Genomic DNA, 23,989 nt, shown 5'->3' with positions numbered 1-23,989 from the left:
TTTTCCAATTTTTTTTAATTTTTTTATTTTTATTTTTATTTTTTTTTGTGATAAGGTCTGGCTGTTTCACCCAGGCTGGAGTGCAGCAGGGCGATCTCAGCTCACTGCAACCTCCACCTCCCAGGCTCAAGTGATCCTGCCACCTCAGTCTCCCGAATAGCTGGGACTACAGGCATGCACCACCATGTCTGGCTAATTTTTTGTAATTTTCATACAGAAGAGGTTTCACCATGTTGGTCAGTCTGTTCCAGAACTCCTGACCTCCGCCCACCTCGACGTCCCAAAGTGTTGGGATTACAGGCATGAGCCACCGCGCCCATATCATTTTCCAAATTCTTTACAAAGTTTTTCTCTTACATTCATAACATAAAGTGCTATTTTAAATAGACTAACTTTTGAAAATAACATAGATAAAGCACTAAATGGGGACATCAGAGGAACAGGCTAAAAAAAAGCTGGAATATTCTTCAGGATTAGGGACATTGAGATTTTATTTATAAAATGATATTTAAATTTTAATAATAGAATTGTTGTACTTTTGCTTGGAGTATTTAAATCTTCTCTTTAATATTTAAAGCCAGTTCTGCACAGAGGTTTTACGGAGATGCTAATTGTTGTATGAAAAGGAATATTATTCTGGAATTTTGAGGAAGGGTAGACATAGAGAAGATAAAGGAAACTCACAGCCTACCTAGGTTTTATTTGGGCTGTGTGTGTGTGTGTGTGTGTGTGTGTGTGTGTGCGCCAGCCACAAGCTGGGTTTATTCTTGAATAAACTGTAGACAAATTGTTTTTCCTGAATCTTCTAAAACCTGCATTTACATAGTCCATGGTTGTGTCTAAACTAGATACTCAAGAGAACTTGGTTTGTTTTAAAGGCATTTAATTAGTTATATTTACATGGACAAATAGAGCAGCAGTTTATTAAAAAAGAATGAAAGGATAAACAAATTAAATATACGTAGAACAGGAAAGACAGCATCTAATTATGTTTCTGGGTCAGGCTCTGATATACAAGATTAATTTAAAATTGGGATTTGGCAAGTAATTTCTATCGAAATCTCAGCAGGAGTTTTTATTGCAACTAACAAGCTGATTTGGAAAGTTTCATGGAAAGGCAAAGGATCTAGAGCAATCAAAAAGACCTTGGAAAAGGGGAAGAAAGTTGGAGGGCTTCCATTTCTCTATTTTAAAAGGTACTATAAAGATATAGTAATCAAGATAGCAGGCAACTCACATGGGTATAAATTTAGACCAATGAAATATAATTAATTACAGTTGGCCCTTGAACAACGTGAAGGTTAGAACCCCTGCACAGTCGAAAATTCACTTAAAACTTTTTACCCCCCCAACACTTAACAACCAATAGTCTACTGTTGACTGGAAGCCTTACCAATAACATAAACAGCTAATTATCACATCTTTTGTATGTTATATATACAATGCACTGTATTCTCACAATAAACTAAGTTAGAGAAAAGAAAATACCATTAAGAAAATCATAAGGAAGAGAACATATATTTACCACTCATTAAATAGAAGTGGATCTTCTTAAAGATCTTCATCCTCATCTTCAGGTTGAATAGGCTGAGGAGGACGAGGGAGAGGAGAGGTTGGTCTTGCAGTCTCAGGGGTGGCAGAGGCAGAAGAAAATCCACATATAAGTGGATCTGCACAGTTCAGAACTGTGTTGTTCAAGCGTCAATTATAAGGGTTTAGAAATAAATCCTTCAATTTGTAGTCAATAGATTTTTAACAATGGTGCCAAAACAATTAAAGGAGGCAAGGATAGTCTTTTCAATAAATGGTGCTGAGACAATTGGATATTCATATGTAAAAAGATCAATTTCAACTCTTACCTCTTATTGTACCCAAAAATTAACTCGAACGACAGGTGGCAATATAAGAATTAAAGCTCTTAAACTTTTAGGAAACTTCAGCAACACAGGAGAAGGTCTTCAGGGCCATGGATTGGGAAAGATTTCATAAATATGACCTCAAAAGTACAATCCTTAAAAGAATTGATCAAGTGAAACTCATCAAAATTAAAAACTTTTACACTTCAAAAGGCACTATTGAGAACATAAAGTGCTATTTGTTGAGAAAACCAAAAGACAAGCCATAAACTGGGAGAGGAGATTTGCCAACCATATTCCCAATAAAAGACTTTTATTTAGAAAATATGTAAACAAACCACTTACTATTCAATAATAAGAAGGAAAGAAATTATTTTTTAATGGGCAAAAATAAATTAATAGACATTTCTGCAAAGACAGTGTACATGAGAAGATATTTAATATCATTAGTTACTAAACATTAGCTAAATGCAAATGAAAACTACAATGAGGCCAGGTGCAGTGGCTCATGCTTGTAATCCCAGCACTTTAGGAGGCCAAGATGAGTGGATCGCTTGAGGCAGGAGTTCAAGACCAACCTGGCCAACAGGGCAAGACCCATGTCTACTAAAAATACAAAAATTAAACAGGAATAGTGGTGCATGCCTGTAGTCCCAGCCACTTGAGAGGCTGAGGCACGAGAATTGCTTAAACCCAGGAGGTGGAGGTTGTCGTGAGCCGAGATCGTACCACTGCACTCTAGCCTGGGCAACAGAGCAAGACTTTGAAAAAAAAAAAAAAAAAACCTATGATGAGACACCATTTCACATCCATTAGTATGGTTATAACAAAAAAGGATATTAGCAAGTGTTGGCTAGGTATTAGAGAAATAGAGACCCTTTATACCACCGTTGGTGAGAATGCCAGGTATTGCAGCTGATTTGGAAAATAGTCTGTCAGTTTATTAAAACATTAAGCATAAATTTGCCTTATGAAACAGCAATTTCACCCCTAGGTATCTATGCAATAGAGATGAAAACATATATCCATGCAAAAAATAGTACACAAATGTTCATAGCAGCTTTATTAATAATAATCAACAAGTAGAAATAAACCAAATGTCACTCAACAAATAAATGGATTTAAAAGATGTGGTATACCCATACAATGGAAAATAATTTAGCCATAAAAAGGAATGAAGTATTGATGCATGCTACAGTATGAAAGGACATTGAAAACATATGCTAAGTAAAAGAAACCAGACACAAAATACCGCATATTATATGAGTTCATTTATATGAAATGCCTAGAGAAGGCAAATCTTATAAAGACAGAAAGTGGATCAGCAAGGCTATCACACCCACGCACCACCCAGGTCTGGTTTTAAAAGGTATTAAGCCCCCATGAAATGGACATTACTTGACTTTTGTTTGATATATGGAAACAGCATTATCAAGTCTTGGTTTCAAAATATGTTTAAGCTCTTCTGAGTTATGTAGAACAGAGGAGTGTTTTCCATTCACAAGTGTTGGAGATGACAGTATTTTCCCTTTGCCTTAATCCGCTTATCCTAGAACCCTATAGGAAGGCAAAGACTGTCTTGATTGATTGACGCAGTTAAAGTTATTGATAGTGGGATATGCACATATGGGCTGCATCTGTCTATGAGAAGGAAGCAATGGAGCCAATTAATTAATTCAAGCAAAATTAAATGTTCACACCTTTTAAATGTGGAAACTATAAAAACCAAAATGGTGCTCTGTGCACTAAGAGCATAAGCTAGTTTTTTGCTATCCTTAAGGGCCTCTTCCTGCATTTTGCCTATATTAAAATTCCTATGCAGATCTTATTGAGGTGATCAAGGTAGATGACTTCGATTTTTATTTTCTTCAACAAATTCACGTACCAATAACTTTCAAATGATATTTAGTAACTATTTTAAACACAGAGGACATGATCTTCAAACGATATTTAATAGCTATTTTACACACAGAGGGCATAACTTTCAAATGATATTTAATAACTATTTTAAACACATAGGACATGGTCTATAATGTTTTGTCCTGACTTAAATATTTATTGCATGTAGTAGATTTTAATAGAAGAAAACAAGAGTGAATAGTGGGTAGTGCTTCTCTAAACACAGAGTAGAGGTAAATCTTAGTGATTTAAATTAGTCACAATTCTGACTTTTTGAGATTGCATGTTTATAAGTTTTTAATGCATGAAATTAATGTCAATTATATAATATTTTGAATAAAGTCCTTCCATGTTTACTGTGTTTTTGCTTGCCTTATGAAAATTTCTAACCATAATGTGTCAGTAACATTTCAAAAATTTATTTAAATTACAACATGTTAACATCAGAGGACCATTGAATACGCCATAAGCATTTCTTTAAAGAATGTGGGAAATGTCTTTTCTAATAATTTAATTTTTTCTTTTTTTAAAACAACTCACGTTAGCATTTTTTTTTTTGCAGTAGCATCATTTTAACCCCCAACTGCATATTCACAGGATATCTAATATTTTTTGCAAGTAACATTTTGAATTTGTTCTTCTTGACATCTTTATGTTTATATGCATTTTGCATTTCCCTATCTCATTTTTTTGAAATCCAAATGTAACAAATTTCAACTTTTTGTGTTACATTCTTTTCTTTTTTTCTTTTTCTGGGTAGCATCTCTCTCTTTTCTGAATTTTTTGAAAACCTGTTGTTTTTGAATTCTCTTTTTTCCCTTTATTTTCCTTCTCAATATGACCCCAGGAGCCAACACAAAGAAAAACGCAGATGATATAACGAGTAATGACCGTGGTGAAGACGAAGGTATTTTTTGTTTTTTCAAAGCTCAACCCCAGTGCATGATTTTATATCTATCTATCTCTCTTTTTTTTTTTCATTTCAATCTGTTTTTTCTCCCCTTATTTAAAACTAGTACACTTTGGTGTGCTTCCTTAATTATTTTCTTCTTGTATAGAAACCACTGTCATTTTTTAATCCCAGTTACCATGTACAGGAAACAAATCACTGTGAGAAGTATAAACATTGTTTCTAAACATGAAAAGAGTAATGAACTACTGTTTACAGAGAAGCCCTTTTTTTTTTTTTTTTGGCTTGGTCGCAAGAAGAGAAAATGGAATTTTAAAACATGCATGTATAGTCTATTTTCTCCCTTCCAAATGTTATTTTGTAAGTTAATATACTACTTTGGAGCTTTGGTCTTCTTAATTATTTTTATGAACTACAAAACTGTACAGCACCTTAGAAGAATTTTTTTTGGGGGGGGGGGGGCTGAAATATCAGTTTTTTTTTTCTTCACAAACATATTGATTCCAACATAGATTTCTGATAATCTGCTCACAGTGAAGTACACCAAAAAGTGTTTTAATGAGATGCTGTTGTTAACGAGCCCTGATGCATTCAGGACTGCCTTTTACAGCATTTAAGGGGGGGTGGGGAAGATAAGAGTATCTCAGAACTGAAAAAGGACAAAAAGCTAGCTATGTTCATCTTTCTTTTCACACCACGGCTTTTTTGAAAACGTTTTTCTCCTTAAAATGTTTTGTTGCTGTGAAGTTTCTTCTTAAGGCTACCAAATTGCTCAACACATTGTCTACCAGAAGTGAAAGGATTTTTTTTTAAAAGATGGTAGGTCTGAGGTACTCATGCAGACAACTCGCATGCTGTTTTTCTGCCCTTTCTGCACAAGAAATGATTTTTTTTTTTTTTAAAGAGGAGAAGCAACAAAAAAAGTACTCAAGCAAGCCCTTCTTCATTGGTAAGGCTCTATAGGATTAGCTAAAAGCACATTTTTCCCATCTGGGTAGCAAAATGCATGGAACTCCATTAAGGTCCTGGCTGGACCTTTGGGTCTCTGTCTGAAAGGCAATTTAAAGCCCAAAAGTGAGTCCTGAATTATCCTTGCTGGTCAAGCCCAACGTCCATGACAGGGTCTTTTGACCAATTCTTGTAGTTGCTCCCCTCCTTGCTTATCTTCATAAATCAACTGTTCTCCAAGAAAAGAAATCTTGCCAACACCCTTGCTGTGCCCAGTCTTCCCTTAACATTTTGAGTATTGTTACTTTTACTGAGCTCATAGAGCTGTCACTGTCTCAAGTAGCTCTCTGAGAGATCTCCATTCTGATGGCCATAGGAGATCAAAATCTACACCTGCTTCAGGTAGCCCCTTCTTTGATAAGGGCTTCTGAATGCCTGACATTTTATCAGTATTGAGCAAATACATAAAAATGAAATAAACTTTTGTCTCATATCTTATACTGCTCTAATTTGTATCCTGTTTGGCCTTCTCTTTTTAATACATTTCCTCTCGATAATTAGAATCTGTTTTCACAGTGTTCCCAGTGAATCTTTATTACCATTAAAATGCCATCTAATTTTCATTTCATATTGTTAAGTTATGATTTTTTGACTTTGCATTAATATAACAGCTGGTTATTACTTCCACAAGTTCAAGAGAGTCTTGTTCTATATTTTATGAAAGGTAAGAGATGTTAATCTCACATATTTTCCAAGGGAGCACTTTAAAGCAGCCCTTCAAAATCTCTACTTACTCTTTTTTCCACAATTTACTAGGCAACCGCTGGTAATGGTAAAAGAAATGAGGCCAAAAACAGCAAATTAGGAACCAGAAAGAAGCAGTGGATCATGAGAAAAGCCATTTCTTATTCATATAGCAGAAGACATTTCCCGTAGTGTATGATGAATAAATGATTAATAGAAGATTTTTACTTCATATTTGAATTTTATATGAGAAAACAAAAGACACTTTTCTGCCGTGGATTAAATATCTGCAAATAAATACTTGGGTAACTTGACACTCTTTTGTGTGCTTTACTGTGACCAATGGGTATGTCGTGTCTTCTGTATGCACCCAGTAAAATTGTGATCATAATTCATTCAAATTGGAGCCACCATCCAAACGATGGTAATTCATATCCTCAGAATTCCTTTGTGGTATTTCAAAAGTGTCCCTGTGGATTATGAGGAAAAAAAAACTTTATTGATGAAGAAATTGAAAATAAATATGCATAAATACTTGAGTTTTCTTTTAGTTACAAAGATATTTAAATTGTACACACACACACACACACACACACACACATATCTGTATCCAGAAATATTTATACGTGAGGTCAGTCTTCCAAAGATTAAATGCAGCCCTAATGGCTGATTAATGTTATAAAACAGGTCTTTTTCACAAAGCAGGCCCTACAGATGGTCTCCAACTTTCTATCATCACAGATCATTGTTTTTACATCATTGTTAATTTAAATAATAAAGTAAATTACCAAGAGGAATCATTGGTTGCAAGTCACAATGGGAGTTTATATTCCCTGTGAAAATATAAAGCATTTAAATAGTTTGGATTCTTTTGCCATTTTTTATTACATCTCTTTTATTTTTGTCACCTAAGTATGTTAGTATGTTACTGTAATCACTGGAACAAAGACATTTGCTTGGACATCTTTTCTTTTTTTTCCCTATTTCTGTTCAGTTAATAATTTTTAACTGTTGATTTTGCTTTCTTGTCATTATCTGTCCCTTATTGATAGTTTATAGCTTCACTACTACTTTTATGTTTTTATTGTTAAATTGAAGATGAATCTGTACACTCACCTGCGAATTAAGATGCAACTATATTAAAATTAATTATAATTTTGAAGTTGATTTTATACTTAATTAGAAGATAAAATATATTTCATCAAGGGTCCCATGTGTTTATTCAATTTAAATCACATTTTAGGGTTTGAGCAAAATTTAGGAAATGTGTACTTTACCTAAAACCATTTCTTTTAGTGCTTTAGATATATATAGAAGCTTAGATGAGCAGAGTACGCTAAATGTCTGTATGCTTCTTAAAATACCATTTCCATAAATAGAAAACGTAATAGCATTGATCATTTTCCTTAGACACTCTTATCAAGGGTCATATCATCCATAAAAATAAATGTGCTTAATTCAAGTCAAAATAGGGAAATCAGTGAATCTCCTTTTTTCTTAATTTAGCATTGGTGAGTCAGTGTGATTCTTTATTGTGTTTCCTTACTTGGCTTTTTTTTCCAGATATTCATGATCAGAACAGTAAGAAGCCCGTCATGGTCTATATCCATGGGGGATCTTACATGGAGGGCACCGGCAACATGATTGACGGCAGCATTTTGGCAAGCTACGGAAACGTCATCGTGATCACCATTAACTACCGTCTGGGAATACTAGGTAAGTGATTTCATCATGTGAATGACTGAGCAAGAGGAAACATGAAAAGTCCACTTCTCGTTTTGACGGGGCTCGTGGATTTGAATCCTGTTATTCCAGTTCCTGGTTAATTCCACTTCACGGTATTTACTTTATGTGATTGGATATGTTTATTCCTTTTACTACCTTTGTGCAACATGGTCATGAATCCCTTCTCAAACCAATGCAGACTTTAAGATCTTAAAGATGAAATGAAATTTTATTTATAGCATGTTTCTCCCTTGGAGTTCAATGAATGTATGTTTGTCTACATAGACCTGTACAATGAACACATATTTGGTGATATTATAGTTGGGAATGGCCATAGATCTTAGCTTTCTTTTCTGATTGTGTCATTGTATGAATCAGTATATTGTGTGGAGGAAAAGATTTTATCCAATTCTCTAACTGATTATGTTGAGCCTTTGGAAGATCTGTTGTTTTGGTTCCATTGCATTTGCATGCAGGGAAACTTAGCTGTTAGTTGACTTTTGTCCATTGATGATCTACGATTAAAGGCTAAATACATGGAAATTCAAGTTTAGTTCCTCCTTGTTTTGATGTTTCATTTCTTTTCTTTCTTTCTTTTTTTTTTTTTTCTTTGAGATGGAATCTCACTCTGTCGCCCAGGCTGGAGTGCAGTGGTGCGATCTTGGCTCACTACAACCTCTGCCTCCCGGGTTCAAGTGATTCTTCTGCCTCAGCCTCCCAAGTAGCTGGGACTACAGGCGCATGCCACCACACTCAGCTAATTTTTGTGTTTTTAATAGAGACAGGGTTTCACCATATTGACCAGGCTGGTCTCGAACTCCTGACCTCGTGATCCGCCTGCCTCGGCCTTCCAAAGTGCTGGGATTACAGGTGTGAGCCACTACGCCCGGCCATCATTCATCTTCTTCTAATTGTAGGTTGGAAAATTATACATCTTCAGAGTCAGATTTCAGTACCTTCTGAGATGGCCTTTCCTGGTGTTGGTTAGTTTGTGAATAATATTCCTAAGACCTATGTAAAAACATTTGTTTTCCAGGCAAAAATGCATTAAAATGGTATAGAAGATAAAGTTTTTAACAAGTTAGCCATGAGAGAGATGTGTATATTGGTTCCAGTGTGATTATGATACAATATGAAATACAAAACAAAATGAAGGCCAGGTGTGGTGGCTCTCGCCTATAATCCCAGCACTTTGGGAGGCCCAGGCAGGCAGATCACTTGAGGTCAGGAATTAGAAAACAGCCTGACCAAAGTGGTGAAACCCTGTCTCTACTAAAAATACAAAAATTAACTGGGCCTGATGGCAGGCGCCTGTAATCCCAGCTACTCAGGAGGCTGAGGCGGGAGAATCTCTGGAACCCAGTAGGTCGAGGTTGCAATGAGCAGAGATAGCGCCATTGCACTCCAGCCTGGGTGACCGAGTGAGACTTTTCTCAAAAAAAAAAAAATAATAATAATACTAGTAATAAATTAATTAAAATAAAAAGCAAAATAAGATGGACTAAAGGAGGTCTGTCAAACAAGAAATATGACTGAAAATGTTTTCTTCAAATATGGCCAAGAATATTTTCTTTTCAATCAGATGACTTCATTTCATTTTGAGTGGGTTTTTTTTTTTCCTATGTGAAAACATTAACCTGTAAGAAGCCCTAAAAGGTGGTGAATTGCTGAGAAACCCTAAGAGGTGTTGTAAGAAACCCTAAGAGAAATGCATTTCTTACTTTGAAATGCAAATCAGTCACAGGTGTTGCTAAAGTTGTATCTTTTGAAACATTGATAAAGAACTCAAAATTCCAGGTTGGTTTCTGCATTAAAGAAAATAAACACCACCAAAAAACCTTTTAGTGTCAAAAAACTTATTATGTCGTTGGCTTTATTTCCTATATTTTTTGTAGTTTTCTGTGAGCCACATCTTGGCGGAATAATGTCTCTGAACTTTTGCATAGCAGTAATTGCACGCTTCACTGAATAGTTTTCAGAGGCGCTGGATAGTTGCTTTGGCTACTAGTGTTGGAAACAGGAAATTGTGCTTCTTGATGTTTTACAAAAGGTTCATTCTGACAAAGAGGTGGAAGGAGGAAAGTATGTGTGAGGGCATTGCACAGGCCCTCTTCAAAGGGAGCAGTGTGTGCACTGCCTGTAGCACGGCCACACGGAAGAAAGCTTGGGCATGCTTTTCTGAGGGAAGCAGTGGGCATCAAGAAAATTCTTGCTTTGCTGGAACCACACAATATTCTGTTGCATGCGTGATGAATTGATGTGTCTGATAAGATAGAGTTTCAAAATAAATTGATCTCCTTTTCCCCCTAAAGCTCAGTTGTATCAAGCAACTCTACACTATGATTTTTTTTTTATCAGTTTTGTCCCTTCGTGAATCAATTGCACATCTTGCAAATTAGCCTGGAAAGTATACACACTTTTTTTAGAGGAAAAAAAAACTAATTGAAAAATTGTTAAGTCTACTTTTTGTTATGGAGAGTTTTTAAAAGTCATAAGATAACAGAGAGCTGTAAAATTGGTGGGGAAGAAATAAAAGAAGCGATTTAGCATCTCTATGCCGGTCTATTTACATTCCTCCAATGAGCTAGTGTGGAACAGCCAAGCACACTACAGACCCCCTTTCATTTGATGGAATGAAATGTGCCAAGTTTGCCGATTTTACAGGACGATAGAGACTTTAAAATGTGACTGCGTTGGTTTTTATCATGGATCTTGCATTTACTATTGTCCTCTTGAAAACAGCTAGGCGGCATTTACTTTTTGCTTGCAGGAAACTCCTATTATCGGTCTTGAAAAAATGTTTTTAAACCTTTGGCATCCAGATATTTAAAAAGATGATCAAATAAAATACACAGCAGGCACTGCAATGATCATTTCAGTGAGTGCATTTCATACAAGTAGATACAATTTTAGGCAAAAAGTTGAAATATTCTTTGAGTTCTTTTTCTTCCAGTAAAAGTCATAAATGCATAAATGTTATCTTCCTACCTGAGGAATGGAAAAATATTGTTTTAAGATTTTTTTTTTTTAATGGAGTAACAAATGCTATTCTCTGTTACCCAAAAGAGAGGATTAAAAAGATGAAACATGCCCATAATGGAAGCGGAATGCTGGCATTGGAAAGAATGTAGATCGCAGCCAGAGACAGACAGGAGCTAACAACTTTCCTCTACCTCTGCCTTGAGAAAGTCAGCTAGCGTTTCCTCAGACTCTTTCCTTAGATGTAGAAGGCAGTGGTCTCTCCCTTGCAAGGTTGTTGTACAGTATAAAAGTTCCATGGTTCAAAATACCACACTTTACCTCATTAATATATAATCTGCTTGTCAATAAAAAAATAACTTTTTTCTTTTCTTTTTTTTTTTTTTTGAGATGGAGTCTCGCTTTTATTGCCCAGGCTGGAGGGCAGTGGCATGATCTCGGCTCACTGCAACCTCTGCCTCCCGGGTCCAAGCGCTTCTCCTGCCTCAGCCTCCGCAGTAGCTGGGATTACAGGCGCCTGCCACCACGCCCCGCTAATTTTTGTATTTTTAGTAGAGACGGGGTTTTGCCATTTTGGCCAGGCTGGTCTCAAACTCCTGACCTCAGGAGATCCACCTGCCTTGGCCTCCCAAAGTGCTGGGATTATCAGCATGAGCTACTGTGCCTGGCCAAAAAATAACCTTTTAAAAAAGATTTAATGGACTCATGTAGATGAAGTTTCATAGGCTCTCAGCAGCAACCATTATACCCAGTCACACTACAATTTCTAGTGTTATTAATACCATTATGCATTGTATTAATACTACTGTTTATCCACAGTAAGAATTGTAGCTGACCCAACCTGTAATGGCTAACTAATATCTATCAAATATTGGCATCCAGACTGAACCATGTTAATTTAAAATAACATTACAAGACACTTGTAGACATTAAATAAATCAGAAGATCATCATGTTTGCTATTTTTTAAAAAATAATCAGAACTGTGCTACACAATCTTGCTAGCCATTGGCCATATAATTTATGATCCAATCCAGGACATGTTTGAGAGTTGCTCATGTGCTATGAATAAACTGGGATTGTCCCAGGCAAATTGAGATGTATCATTATAGCTATAAAGTAATTATTTATATCTACATGAAGTGTCTTCTGATTGAATTGGTGTTCAGTTTGTTTTTAAAGAAGCTGCACTTCTATAAACAGATTTCCTATGTGTTCTGCTATACACCCTTGTCACTAGGAAGGTGTATATGTTACCAGAAAGGGATCCTAATCCAGACCCTAAGAGAGGGTTCTTGATTCTCGTGCAAGAAGGAATTGGAGGCAAATCCGTAAAGTGAAAGTAAGTTTATTAGGAAAGTAAAGGAATAAAGAATGACTGCTCCATAAGCAGAGCAGCCCGAGGGCTGCTAGTTGGCTATTTTTATGATTATTTCTTGATTATATGCTAAGCAAGGGGTTGGTTATTCATGAGATTTCCGGGAAAGGGGTGGCAATTATTGGAACTAAGGGTTCCTCCCCTTTTTAGACCATATAGGGTAACTTCCTGACATTGTCATGGCATTTGTAAGCTGTCATGGTGCTTGTGGAAGGGTCTTTTAGCATGCTAATGCATTGTAATTAGTGTATAATTAGCGTATAATGAGTAGTGAGGATGACCAGACATCACTCTAGTTGCCATCTTGGTTTTGGTGGGTTTCGGCTGTTTTTTTTTACTGCATCCTTTTATCAGCAAGGTCTTTGTGGCCTGTATCTTGTGCTGACCTCCTGTCTCATCCTGTGGCTAAGAATGCCTAACTTCTTGGGAATGCAGCCCAGTAGGTCCCAGCCTTACGTTACCCAGCCCTTATTCAAGATGGAGGTGCTCTGGTTCAAACGTCTCTGACATATATATTCAAGAATTTGGAAAACCTCAAGTTCACCAATGCCTCTCAGATTAGTCATTGCCAGGGTGTGTGGTGTTCCTATCTGCTCAGAAGCCAGAAGCCAGCAAAATCCTTGCTGAGCTGTACGTGCCAGGGCATTTGCCTGGTCTCACCTACCCACTTGAGTACCTATGCCCTATCACCCATTCACCTCACAACATCCATACGTATCATTTACCCCTAAGAAGATTAGACATTAATCCAGGTAATAAACTTTCAGAACAATCACCTCCAGACAGAAACTGCAGAGGATAATCTGATAAATCTGAATCCCTGTAAGGCCATTACTGAATCAATAAATACTCTTTTCTCCATCTTAGTTCCTTACTTTAGTATAACTTGAGTTCTCCCCAATCTGTTTTTTTTTTGTTGTTGTTGTTCATGATAGTCCAAAGACCTTCGATGTAAAAGAGAATGCATCTTGCTCATGCTTTTTGATGGAAATACCTGGAACTTATTTATTCCTTCCCCTTTCCAGTTGTCTCCAAGTGCAAGTCTGTCTGTACCTGCAGTGGATTTCATCTACCTCCATTTAAATATGTATTTCCGTTTAGCTCACATGGTACTATCACCTTTTTGGTGATCCTATGACTTCATGCTTCATGTATGCTGAAATTAATTGTTGCTTCAAAAGAGTCCCAACTATGTAACATCAACTCATTGTGTGCCTCTATGTGGCTGGCAGATATTACTTCATTTAATCTTCGTAAACTCCCTTGGAAGAGTTAACCTTATGTCCTACCTATGAGGAGATGAATGCTTTGAGGTAATGGGATTTACTCATGGCATCACACCTTCTAGCAGTCAGAGCAGGGACTGAAACCCGGGTGTAACTGAAGCCAGAGCTCTGACTTACCACTCAGAACTCATCCACAGCCTTCTTAATTAATGTCAAGTATGAATTAGTAAACCATGGAATGAGTGAAGAAATTGAGTATCACTTTAGCATCAGATGTAGCTTTTATCATTATGCAAAAAAGTTCTTACTGCTGATCAAGATACACAATTGTGATAAGATGCTTACAGTGTATTTTTAAGTTCCTCAAAGTGGGTCCTTGAAGGCTGATTCATTTCCATTCAATCGATACTGGTTTGCTTTGGTTCACGGTGATGGTGGCATTAACCACAACAATGGCATTTGTCACATCAAAGCTCTTCGGTGCAGTAGAACTAGTGTTTCATCAGGAAATTTGGTGTCCTACCCCCAGTTCCCATGTCATTGCTGGCTTGCTGTGTCGTGTGCATAAATTGAGTCAAATGATCATTTCGGTGCATTTCTTACAATCTTTCACATATTATAGCTATCCTGAAAATTTTCATCTGAGGGTAGATTGCGTCATGGTCTTCTGAAGTTGTCTTTCTCTTTAAGACCATTCATTGAATAAACCTATTAGACGCTTTGGAGTCATAATTGAATATAAGACAGAAATGGTTTGATATAAAAGCAACCAACATGCATAGCAGAAACAGCATTTGTAGTCATAATTTGGGTGACTTAACCCATATGCACGTGCTCAGCCTAATAATGTGGTCACTTTCCCTGTTCTGGTGTCCCTTGTAGGGTTTTCCTCTGAAATTGAGGGAGGGTGGGCTGAGCTCTGAAGCATTCTTGCAACATCGGCCAGAGTGGTCTCACCTTTATGCTTTTGTGATATGTGTGAGCCATGTAATATTCCACTCAACAAAAGAAGCCTGGAAATCATTAGAAGAGAGGACCAATACGTTCTTCCCAAGAGTTACAGCCTCAATTCCATGGGTGTGCATTTATGTGACATGCATCTGACATTAGTGGGAGTTCAATGGGTCACTATAATTTCCCTGAAGCACACCTGCTGAAAAATGTCAAGCTATCTTATAAATGACCTGTATGTTCTTCTCCCCTTTGGAAGTTAGAGGAGTTGCTCTATTTTTGGTACATTTGCTATTTTATTTCTTTTTTTCTAACAATATTTCTTTTCTTTAATGCTTTATGAAGGATTTTATTTGAAATGATAAATGGAACACATCTTATGTATCAAGTCAAAAGTTCATAAGCGTATATATTAAAAAAGAAAGCATCATTTCCTTTTTCGAGAATCAACACACCTTGATGCCAGTCTCCTGGTTTCATTAGAATCCCTCTCTTCTCTTCCTCTAACCAAAATGTCTCAGATTCCCCCGATTTGATTTCTGTAAATGGCCTACTTTGACTGGAAGAATTGCCTCTCTCTGTCTAAAACAGGACCCAGGCGTTACTAAAACAAAACACTGCAAAAAGTTAAATGAGGAGAAAGGAAAGTTAAGCATTGTACTTAGTGAGAAATACATAAACAAAAGTAGAGACGTAAAAGAAGCATGAGAGAAGGGTGAGAAAGTGAAATCCTGAGACAAGATGAATGGTGTGTGAGCACTCAAACCCAGGAAGTAGCAAAAGGTGGAAGGAAGAATGGGAGCCTTTAGAATAAGATTCTTTGTGGGCTGGGTGGCAGATGTTATCGGTAAAGCCAGCCTGGGGAGTTGGCAGGGGTCCATGCAGTAGATAACACAGCAATAGAGTGAACACATTGCAGAAGATAGGGCAACCTCTAATCCAGAAATTATCAGATAAAGAAAAACCAAGACACTTTGCAAAACAAAAAAAAAAACAAACAAAAAAACACAACACAATGTCTTGTTTTTCATCATCATCTTCTTTATAATGAGGTTTCCATGCATTGAATACACACTTGGAAACACTGTAATCCCATGGTTGTTGTGGCTGCAGATTGATAGGTGTGGACAGGTCTTTGGTGGGGCAAACAAAACCAGGATCATGTTTTTTGCTCTCAGAATGATCGTTTGCTTGGACTTTCCTCTTCTGCCTCCTAGTGGCTCAAAATGCCCACTGCATTCATTGGATTTATTCAGGATGTGAAGAAGGTCAGGGGAAATTAAGGATGAGTGCTTTGTCATTAGGACCTGAGAGGCAAATGGAGCAGAGATGGGGACGACTGCAGTGGGATAAGGACTCTCTCACCAGGAAGGTGCCATTGATGTAATAGTTGATGGGAACAGCAGAGCAAAGAGGCTCCCTCGTCCTCAGCTGACTCAACAACAAGCGAGACATCAGATGGAACGGTATTTATTGGGCAAGGAAAATCAGGGGAAGGCTAGGTGCAGTGGCTCTCACCTGTAATCCCAGCACTGTGGGAGGCCAAGGTGGGAGGATTCCTTGAGGCCAGGAGTTCCAGATCAGCCTGGACAACCTAGTGAGACCCTGTCTCAGAAAGAAAGAAAGAAAGAGAGAGGGAGAGGGGGAGAGAGAGAGAGAGGGAGGGAGGGAGGGAGGGAGGGAGGGAGGGAGAGAGAGAGAGAGAGAGAGAGAGAGAGAGAGAGAGAGAGAGAGAAAAGAAGGAAGGAAAAAGAAAAAATTAGCCAGATGTGGTGATGTATGCCTGGTGTCTCAGCTACTTGAAAAGCTGAGGCAGGAGGATTGCTTGAGCCTAGGAGTTCGAGGCTGCAGTGTGCTGTGATTGCACTCCAGTCTCAGCAACAGAGTGAAATCCTGTCTCAAATTTTTAAAAAAGACTCAAAAGAAAATCAAGGGAGGGAGTGGAGACAAGGTAGAAAAGAATTTTTTTTATTTTGTGCTTTTTTCCCTAATGTATTCATTTAATCATCAAATAAAAATTGAATATATTGATCATGTACAAAGTGATGTTTTGAAATATGTATCCATTGAGAAATGGCTAAATCGAGCTAATTCACAAGTGCATTACTTCAAATGCTTATTTTTCTGGTGCAAACACTTAAAATCTACTTTCTTAGAGATGTTCAAATATTCAATTCCTTGTGATTCAACTTTGTTTGCCATATTGAACAGATCTTTTGAACTTTTTCCTGCCAACTGAAACTTTGTAACCTTTGGCCAACATCTCCCGTTTCCTCTCCACCTCCAGCTTCAAGTTCTGTAAGAGAACATTCTACTCTCTGCTTCTGTAAGCTTGACTTTTTTTTAGATTCCACATATAAGTAAGAACATGTGATATTTGTCTTTCTGTGTCTGGCTTGTATCACTTAACATAATGTCCTCTGGTTCATCCATGTAGTCCCAAATGACACAACTTCTTTCCTTTTTTTTGAGGTAGAATAATAGTCCCTTGTGTGTATAAACCCCATTTTCTTTATTCATTCATCTAATGATGGACATTCAGGTTGATTCCATATTTCAGCTGTTGTGATTAGTGCTGCAATGAACATGGGAGTGCAGATTTCTCTTCAAAGACTTCTTTTTTCCAATCCCAAATACACAAAATTATCATCTGGCATCTGTCATGCTATGGAGACTCTCCTTGATCTATTTATAAACGATTCAGGATTTCTTTAAAGAAGCTGAAATTTTATTTTTACATGCATAACCATATTTAGAAATCAAAATATTCAAACAGAAATCACAGAAGAATCTATTCCATCAATATATAATTCCCAGTTAATTGATTATATAATGTCATTTAAGCATGAGTTAGTAGTCACAGAGAATATGCCTTAAAAATGTTCTGTCTTTGAAAGTTTTACATTCAAAACAGTCTCTTAAGATTATTAATTCTAAAAGACACCATCCCTTTCTCTCTTCAGCCTGTTTTCTTCATTTTGCTTCTCATCCAGTATGTGAAAGGTTGATGATTTTTAGTTGATGAGGTTGACGTGCCCTCTTTCTCCTTGGGGACAGAAGGACATAAGTTGTGCTTTAAATGAAAATAAGAGTATGATGAGTATCCCAAGGGATGATGGAAAGTTCCAGGGAGAAGCATTGAAATTGAGAGCCAAATTCAAGTACATTGGAATTAGGGTTCTGGTGATAATTCTGTCAGTATCTACATATATTCAAGGAAATTAGTCCTTTCGAGTAGGATAATGGAAAAATCTCTAAAAGGCAATCTGAGCGGGATGTTTAAAGACTACGTGATTATTATGCAGTGCATGCCTGTACCAAAACATCTCAAGTACCCCACAAATGTATACACTTACTATGTACCCATAAAGTTTAAAAAAATGTAAGACTACTACACATATTCTGGCCTGCAGCTTTTTTTCCCCTGACATTTGCCTACCCGCCTGTAATAGCACAGGCAATTCTACAAGAAGCATGAATATGCACATATGTACATGCATGACAGCAGTGATACAAAGACAGATGTGTTGTGTTCTAGTATAATTGTCTTATTTTTGTCCATTCCAACGTTAATAAGTCATTAGCTTTATGGAAATGAACCCTAGGGGATGAAACATACAGGTGCAAAGTAAATTTCCTAGGGACTAAATTATAACCAAATTATGGCAGGTACACCCTGCATTTAGCGATATAAATATATGTTTCAAATAAAATTGTAACATATTGATTGGCACGTCCAGCCATATTCTTAAGATACTTTATCCTTGGACTAAAAATAATAATAATCGCTTTTTTGAATGAAGTGTTTAATTTTCAGTGTAAAAAGTCAGGAATATTTTAGAATGCTCAACGCAACATTGCTTCAATGAGCTAGGGCCTTTATGAAGATAAGTCACTAGAAAGTCTGTGTTGATTCGGTTAATTATTTGAGATTGTATGCACTGATTTTCACTGTGTTAAGTATAGTGGCATTTATTAGAGGCTCAGATGTTATAGAGAGAAGGCTGTGTCCAGTTATAGGGCTGTAGTCATAAACAGATGGGTAAAATCAACACATCATTGTAAATCATAAACAGGCAGGTATGATAAACACATAATGATAAGCATTTCAGCACTGGGTGCAGTGTTGCATGCCTGTAGTCTCAGCTACTCGCGAGGCTGACGATCTTTGGAGCTTAGGAGTTCAAGAGCAGCCTGGGCAACATAGTGAGAACCCATCTTTAAACATTAAAAAGAACAACAAAAAAACATCATTTCAGTGTAGACAGGCATAACATGATCTCACAGAGAAACACTACGATTTGTACACAAGAAAACTAAGCTTTGCACTGGTGTTGGGAGAACATTTTGGAATGATAAACTATTTCCTGTTTGTTTTAAGAAATATTTGGTAAGGTTTAAAGTAGTGTCTGCCTCTTTACTAAAATATTCCAGTATCTGTTTAGATGTCCCAGTTGGTCTTAGATACTTGGTGGTAAACATATATATACACATATATAGCGCATATATGTGTATATATGTGGGTGTGGGTGCATATGGGTGTGTATAATCTATGTGTGTATACATACATATATGTGTACATACATACATATGTGTGTATACATATACATGTATCAGTTGTTTGCCCTTGTGATGCACACACAGATCTATATGTGTGTATATATATGTGTCTATATATGTATACATGCTAATGTGTATGTATACATATATAAAATATGTTCCTTGATTCACAGTGGGATTATATCCCAATAAACCCGTTGTAAATGTAAGATGTCATTAGTTGAAAATGCATCAATACATCTAACCTACCAAACATCATAGCTTAGCTTGGCTGACATTGAACATACTTATAACACTTACATTAGCCTACAGTTGGGTGACATCATCTAACACAAATCCTATTTTATAAATAAAGTGTTGAATGTTTCATGTACACTGCAGAGTAGCAGTTGTTTGCCCTTGTGATTGTGTGGCTGACTGGGAGCTACAGACCGCTGCCTGGCATCCAAAGAGACTATGGTACTGCATATTGCTAGCTTGGGAATATATCAAAATTCAAAATATGATTTCTACTGACTGAATATCATTTTTGTATCATCTTAAGATCAAAAATCATAAATCAAACCATTGTAAGTCCGGGAATGTCTGTGTAATAATTTGGCTATAGTCTTAAACAGGTGGGTAGAATAAACACATTATTATAAATCCATCCTGTGCTTTTGAACACATGGAGGCTACCCCACCAAAATGCCTGTGTTCAATATATTGCGAACCTCTAGGTATCTTTTTCCTTCATTGCTGTTTAATTTTTCCTTCTAAGCATGAACTTACAAGATTACTTAGGAATAGCATTCATCCTTCTTCATTCCTCTTTGTTTAAAACATGCTTAGCATTTCTCATCTTGAAAGAAATGAGTAGCTTTCTTCTTTTCAATCATATTTCATCAGAACTATTCTCTTGAGGGCCACAGAAATGTCATAAGCATTTTCTCTGGCACTTCTGATACTTTTAATGGCTTTTGATACATCTTCATGTTTCTTAATCTTCTTGTGATCCTTACCATGTAAGTGACCCGTTGAGCTTATCTCCAACTCCTATTTTTCATTGTCTCCTTCCTTTATTTGAAACAACTTACATCCAGCGTGCACGTTTGAAGTGTGCAATTCAATGGCCTTTAGTATATGCACAACATTGTGACACCAGCAACACCATCTAATTTTTGAACATTGACGTCATTCCAAAGAGAAATCCCATACCTCTTCTCTCCCAGGTCCCCAGGAGATAGGCTTCCACTAACTATCTACCTGTCTATATAGATTTGCCTTTTGGGGGCATTTCATGTAAATTAAATCATATAATACATGCTTTTTTGTGTGTCTGACTTCATTCCCTTAATGTTTTTGAGGCTCATCCATGTTGTAGCATGCATCTCTACTCTTTTATTTTTTATGGTTCGGTAATATTTCATTTTATGGATATACCACACTTTGTTTATCCATCCATCTGTTGCTAGACATTGGGATCATTTCCAGTTTCTGGCTGTTCTCAATAATTGTGCCATGAACGTTCATGTGCAAGTTTTTGTATGGACATATATTTCATTTTTCTTGATTGGGGATATAGGAGCCGAATCGATAGGTCATATCATGAACTCTGTGTTTAAATATTTGAGAATCTTTCAAATTATTTTCCAAAATAGGTGTACCATTTTACATTTTCACCATCAATGCACAAAAGTTTTAACTTCTCCACATCCTCACTCACACTTGTTCTCATCTGTCTTTTTAATTATAGCCATCCTAATGGGTGTAAAGTGATATCATGTTTGGGGGTTTATTTTTGAATATTTACATCATTCCAAAAAGAAGTCCCGTATCTCTTCTCTCCTACATCCCCAAAAAGTAGGCAAGAGGTAATCTACTCAAGAAATGATACCAGCTTAAACCAGGGCAGTACCAGTGAGAATGCAAAGAAAATAAAAAAGAAGAGGTTGTTCTGCGTGTCTTACAGATGCAACAGGATTTGCTGATGGATTGGATGCAAGGTGGCAGAGAATGAGAATGCATTTTTCCTGATGACTAATGATGTTGAACACCTATTCATGTGCTTATTGGACATGTGTGTAAATCCTTTGGAAAAATATCTATTCAGATCCTTTGCCTATTTTAATTGGATTATCTTTTCATTACTGAGGTTTAGGAGGGGTACTTTTAAGTAGTATAATGTGGATACATGTTCCTTACCACATGTGGGATTCACAAACACTCCCATTCTGTGTCTTCCACCTCCACTTTCTTGATGGCACATTCTTATTACTCATGTTTCTGAAAACATAATCTTCAGCCTCATTGACCAATGACTCTGAATATTGACTCATATATGTTTAAGCAGGCTTGTCCACTTACTATATCTCACAAGTCCCATGGTTATCGTGACAGTCCACTGCTATCCCGTCCCTTGTGGCTGTCTCATCATTGTATGGAGACAATATAAGGATGCCGGGACAGATAAAGGGTATTAGGATAGAGTGCCATCAATGTGTCTGTGAAGAAGGGTTCGTTTCAATCAGTTCACCATGACTGGGGATTTGATTCTGTCAATTGCTGACTCAGGAATGTAAATGCTGAGTAAGGCAGGACTTGATCAGTCTATTGGGGGAAGGCATCATTGACCAAAGTGCAGTGCAAATTTATTCATTGACTATGAGGCATATAACTCTTTATAACTGTCAATAGAAAATGGACAAGGCATCCCTCCGTTCCTTACAAGGTTTTGTAATGAGCCCTGGATTTAAAAAAATACTAGTAATAATAAGAGAAAGAGAGGGAGACAGAGAGAGAGAGAGTGAGATAGAGTTTCTAGTTTAAGTGAAGTTAAAATGTTTTTTCTATATATACAAAACTAGCTTTGCCAAGGAAGATGTAGTAGTGGTTTTCATTCATTCATTCTTCTTTCATTCAAGAAACAGATATTGACAACCTGCTGTTTGACACATGGTATAACAACTTCCATTGAAAATGGAGTAGCAAACAAAACAGAGAAAAAATCCCCAATCCTACAGCATTTCTATCCAGTAGGGGAAAAAACAACGACAGACAAGTATCGTAAAATACACAGTAGAATATGATATCACAAGTGCTATGGAGAAATATTTAGTAGAGAAGGGTGCTAAATTAGAAATTTTGTGCCAAAATTTTGACTAAGGTGGTTATGGAAAGTTTCACAGATAAGGCAAAACTGATGTGAGGGAGTGATCCATACAGTTACCTGGAGGAACAGCATCTTGGGCTAAGGAAAGATCCAGTGCAAAGGCCCTGTGGCCACAGAGTCCCTGAGAATATCAGTGCAGCTGGAAAGTAGTGGTGAAGGGGATAGTAGCACCTGATTTCAGAGATGTCAGCATGAGCCACATTTTATATGCCTTTAAAGGACTAGTGTATTGTTCTTAGTGAGAAAGGAAATGGCTGTCTATGTAAAGGGGCATTAGGTTAGAAGGTTGTTGCATAATCCACCCAAGAAATAAAAGGCATTTCGATCAGAATTTAGCTCTTCTACTCCATGAAACTACTTATCAGTTCCATTAATGCCTTCCACTCTGCACTCTCAGGGTTCGATTTTCTGGAAAATTTTGAATTTTGATTTTGATTTTCCAGAACATTTAGAGTTCTCGATGACTCTCTCCTTCACGAAAAACATTCCTTACTTGGTATCTATATTTGTTTCTTTCCTATTGCTGCTAAAACAAGGTATCACAACTTGTTATAACTCTAATGTTAACTCTAGGGAATTAAAAGCAATGCAGATTTATTATCTCACAGTTCTGGGTGCTAAAAGTCCCAAATGTGTTCACATTCAAAGAGAGAATCCATTTCCTTGGTTTGTCTGTTTGTCTTCTTTTGAAGACTGGCTACATATCTTAGATCTCATTCTCTGTTTCTAACCTTCCATTTTAAAAAACAAACAAACAAAAAACATTATGATTACCTAGATTCATCCAGATGAACCGGGTTAAGTTCTCATCTTAAGATCCTCACTTTTTTTTTTTTTTCTCTCTCTGAGATGGAGTCTTGCTCTGTTGCCAGGCTGGAGTGCAATGGCGCGATCTCAGCTCACTGCAACCTCCCCCTCCCGGGTTCAAGTGATTCCCTTGCCTCAGCCTCCCGAGTAGCTGGGACTACAGGCCCGCACCACCATGCCTGGCTAATTTTTTTGTATTTTACTAGAGACGGGTTTTCACCATGTTGGCCAGGATGGTGTTGATCTCCTGACCTCGTGATCCGCTCTCCTTGGCCTCTTAAAGTGCTGGGATTACAGGCGTGAGTCACCGTGCCTGGCCAGGATGTTCACTTTTTAAAATTGATTTATTCTTATTTTATTTTAGAGATGAGGTTTTGCTCTCTCAGATAGGTTGGAGTGCAGTGTCATAATCATAGCTCACTGAAGTCCCAGCCTCTTGGGTCAATTGATCCTCCTATCTCACCCTCCTGAGAAGCTGGGACTACAGACATGCACCACCACGCCCAGCTAAGTTTTATATTTGTTTACAGAGGGGGTTTCACCATGTTGCCCAGGCTGGTCGTGAACCCCTAGGCTCAAGTGATCCACCGGCCTCAGCCTCCCAAAATGCTGGGATTATAGGTGTGCTTCCTGACACCAGTTTCTGAGGTCCTTGACGGCTGTGGTCATAGCTCATACTACCTCTCTCTCCCTAGTGTCTACCGGACAATAAGCAGTTTCTGAATGATTAGCCGTTGCAGGGTTTTTGACTCCAAATTGCAAAATGCAAGCTAATTAAAAAAGGAGTGAATCTATTTACTCATTTTTTTTTTTTTTTAGTTTGAGTGAACTGATTCTCAAAATCAGTGAATGCCCA

The 23,989-nt window shown here is 37.2% G+C and overlaps 1 protein-coding gene across 17 annotated transcripts in view, besides 1 other annotated feature; it reads left to right on the top strand.

Moving 5' to 3' along the window:
* Positions 1-23,989, top strand: part of NLGN4X (neuroligin 4 X-linked) — a 338,826-nt gene that overhangs the window by 191,515 nt on the left and 123,322 nt on the right. For 11 of the 17 annotated variants that reach the window (NM_181332.3, NM_001282145.2, NM_001441324.1 and 8 more), the window contains one exon: positions 7,921-8,073. In NM_181332.3, the coding sequence (NP_851849.1) occupies positions 7,921-8,073 (153 nt within the window). Of the gene's footprint in view, positions 1-4,602; positions 4,663-7,920; positions 8,074-23,989 lie in introns of all 17 variants that reach the window. The other 6 variants (XM_005274564.4, XM_011545548.3, XM_005274565.3 and 3 more) reach the window with 1 other exon arrangement.
* Positions 9,732-10,305: an enhancer, noted in NCBI's record as "OCT4-NANOG hESC enhancer chrX:5945089-5945662 (GRCh37/hg19 assembly coordinates)". NCBI's record gives its function as "activates a minimal SCP1, AML or CMV promoter by ChIP-STARR-seq in naive H9 embryonic stem cells {active_cell/tissue: H9 hESC(naive)}" and the evidence as "EXISTENCE:reporter gene assay evidence [ECO:0000049][PMID:30033119]".

Source organism: Homo sapiens, chromosome X (assembly GCF_000001405.40).
Source record: "Homo sapiens chromosome X, GRCh38.p14 Primary Assembly".
Classification (NCBI taxonomy): domain Eukaryota; kingdom Metazoa; phylum Chordata; class Mammalia; order Primates; family Hominidae; genus Homo; species Homo sapiens.
Note: the sequence above shows the minus strand (reverse complement) of the source record. Positions and strands in the feature narration are given on the sequence as shown.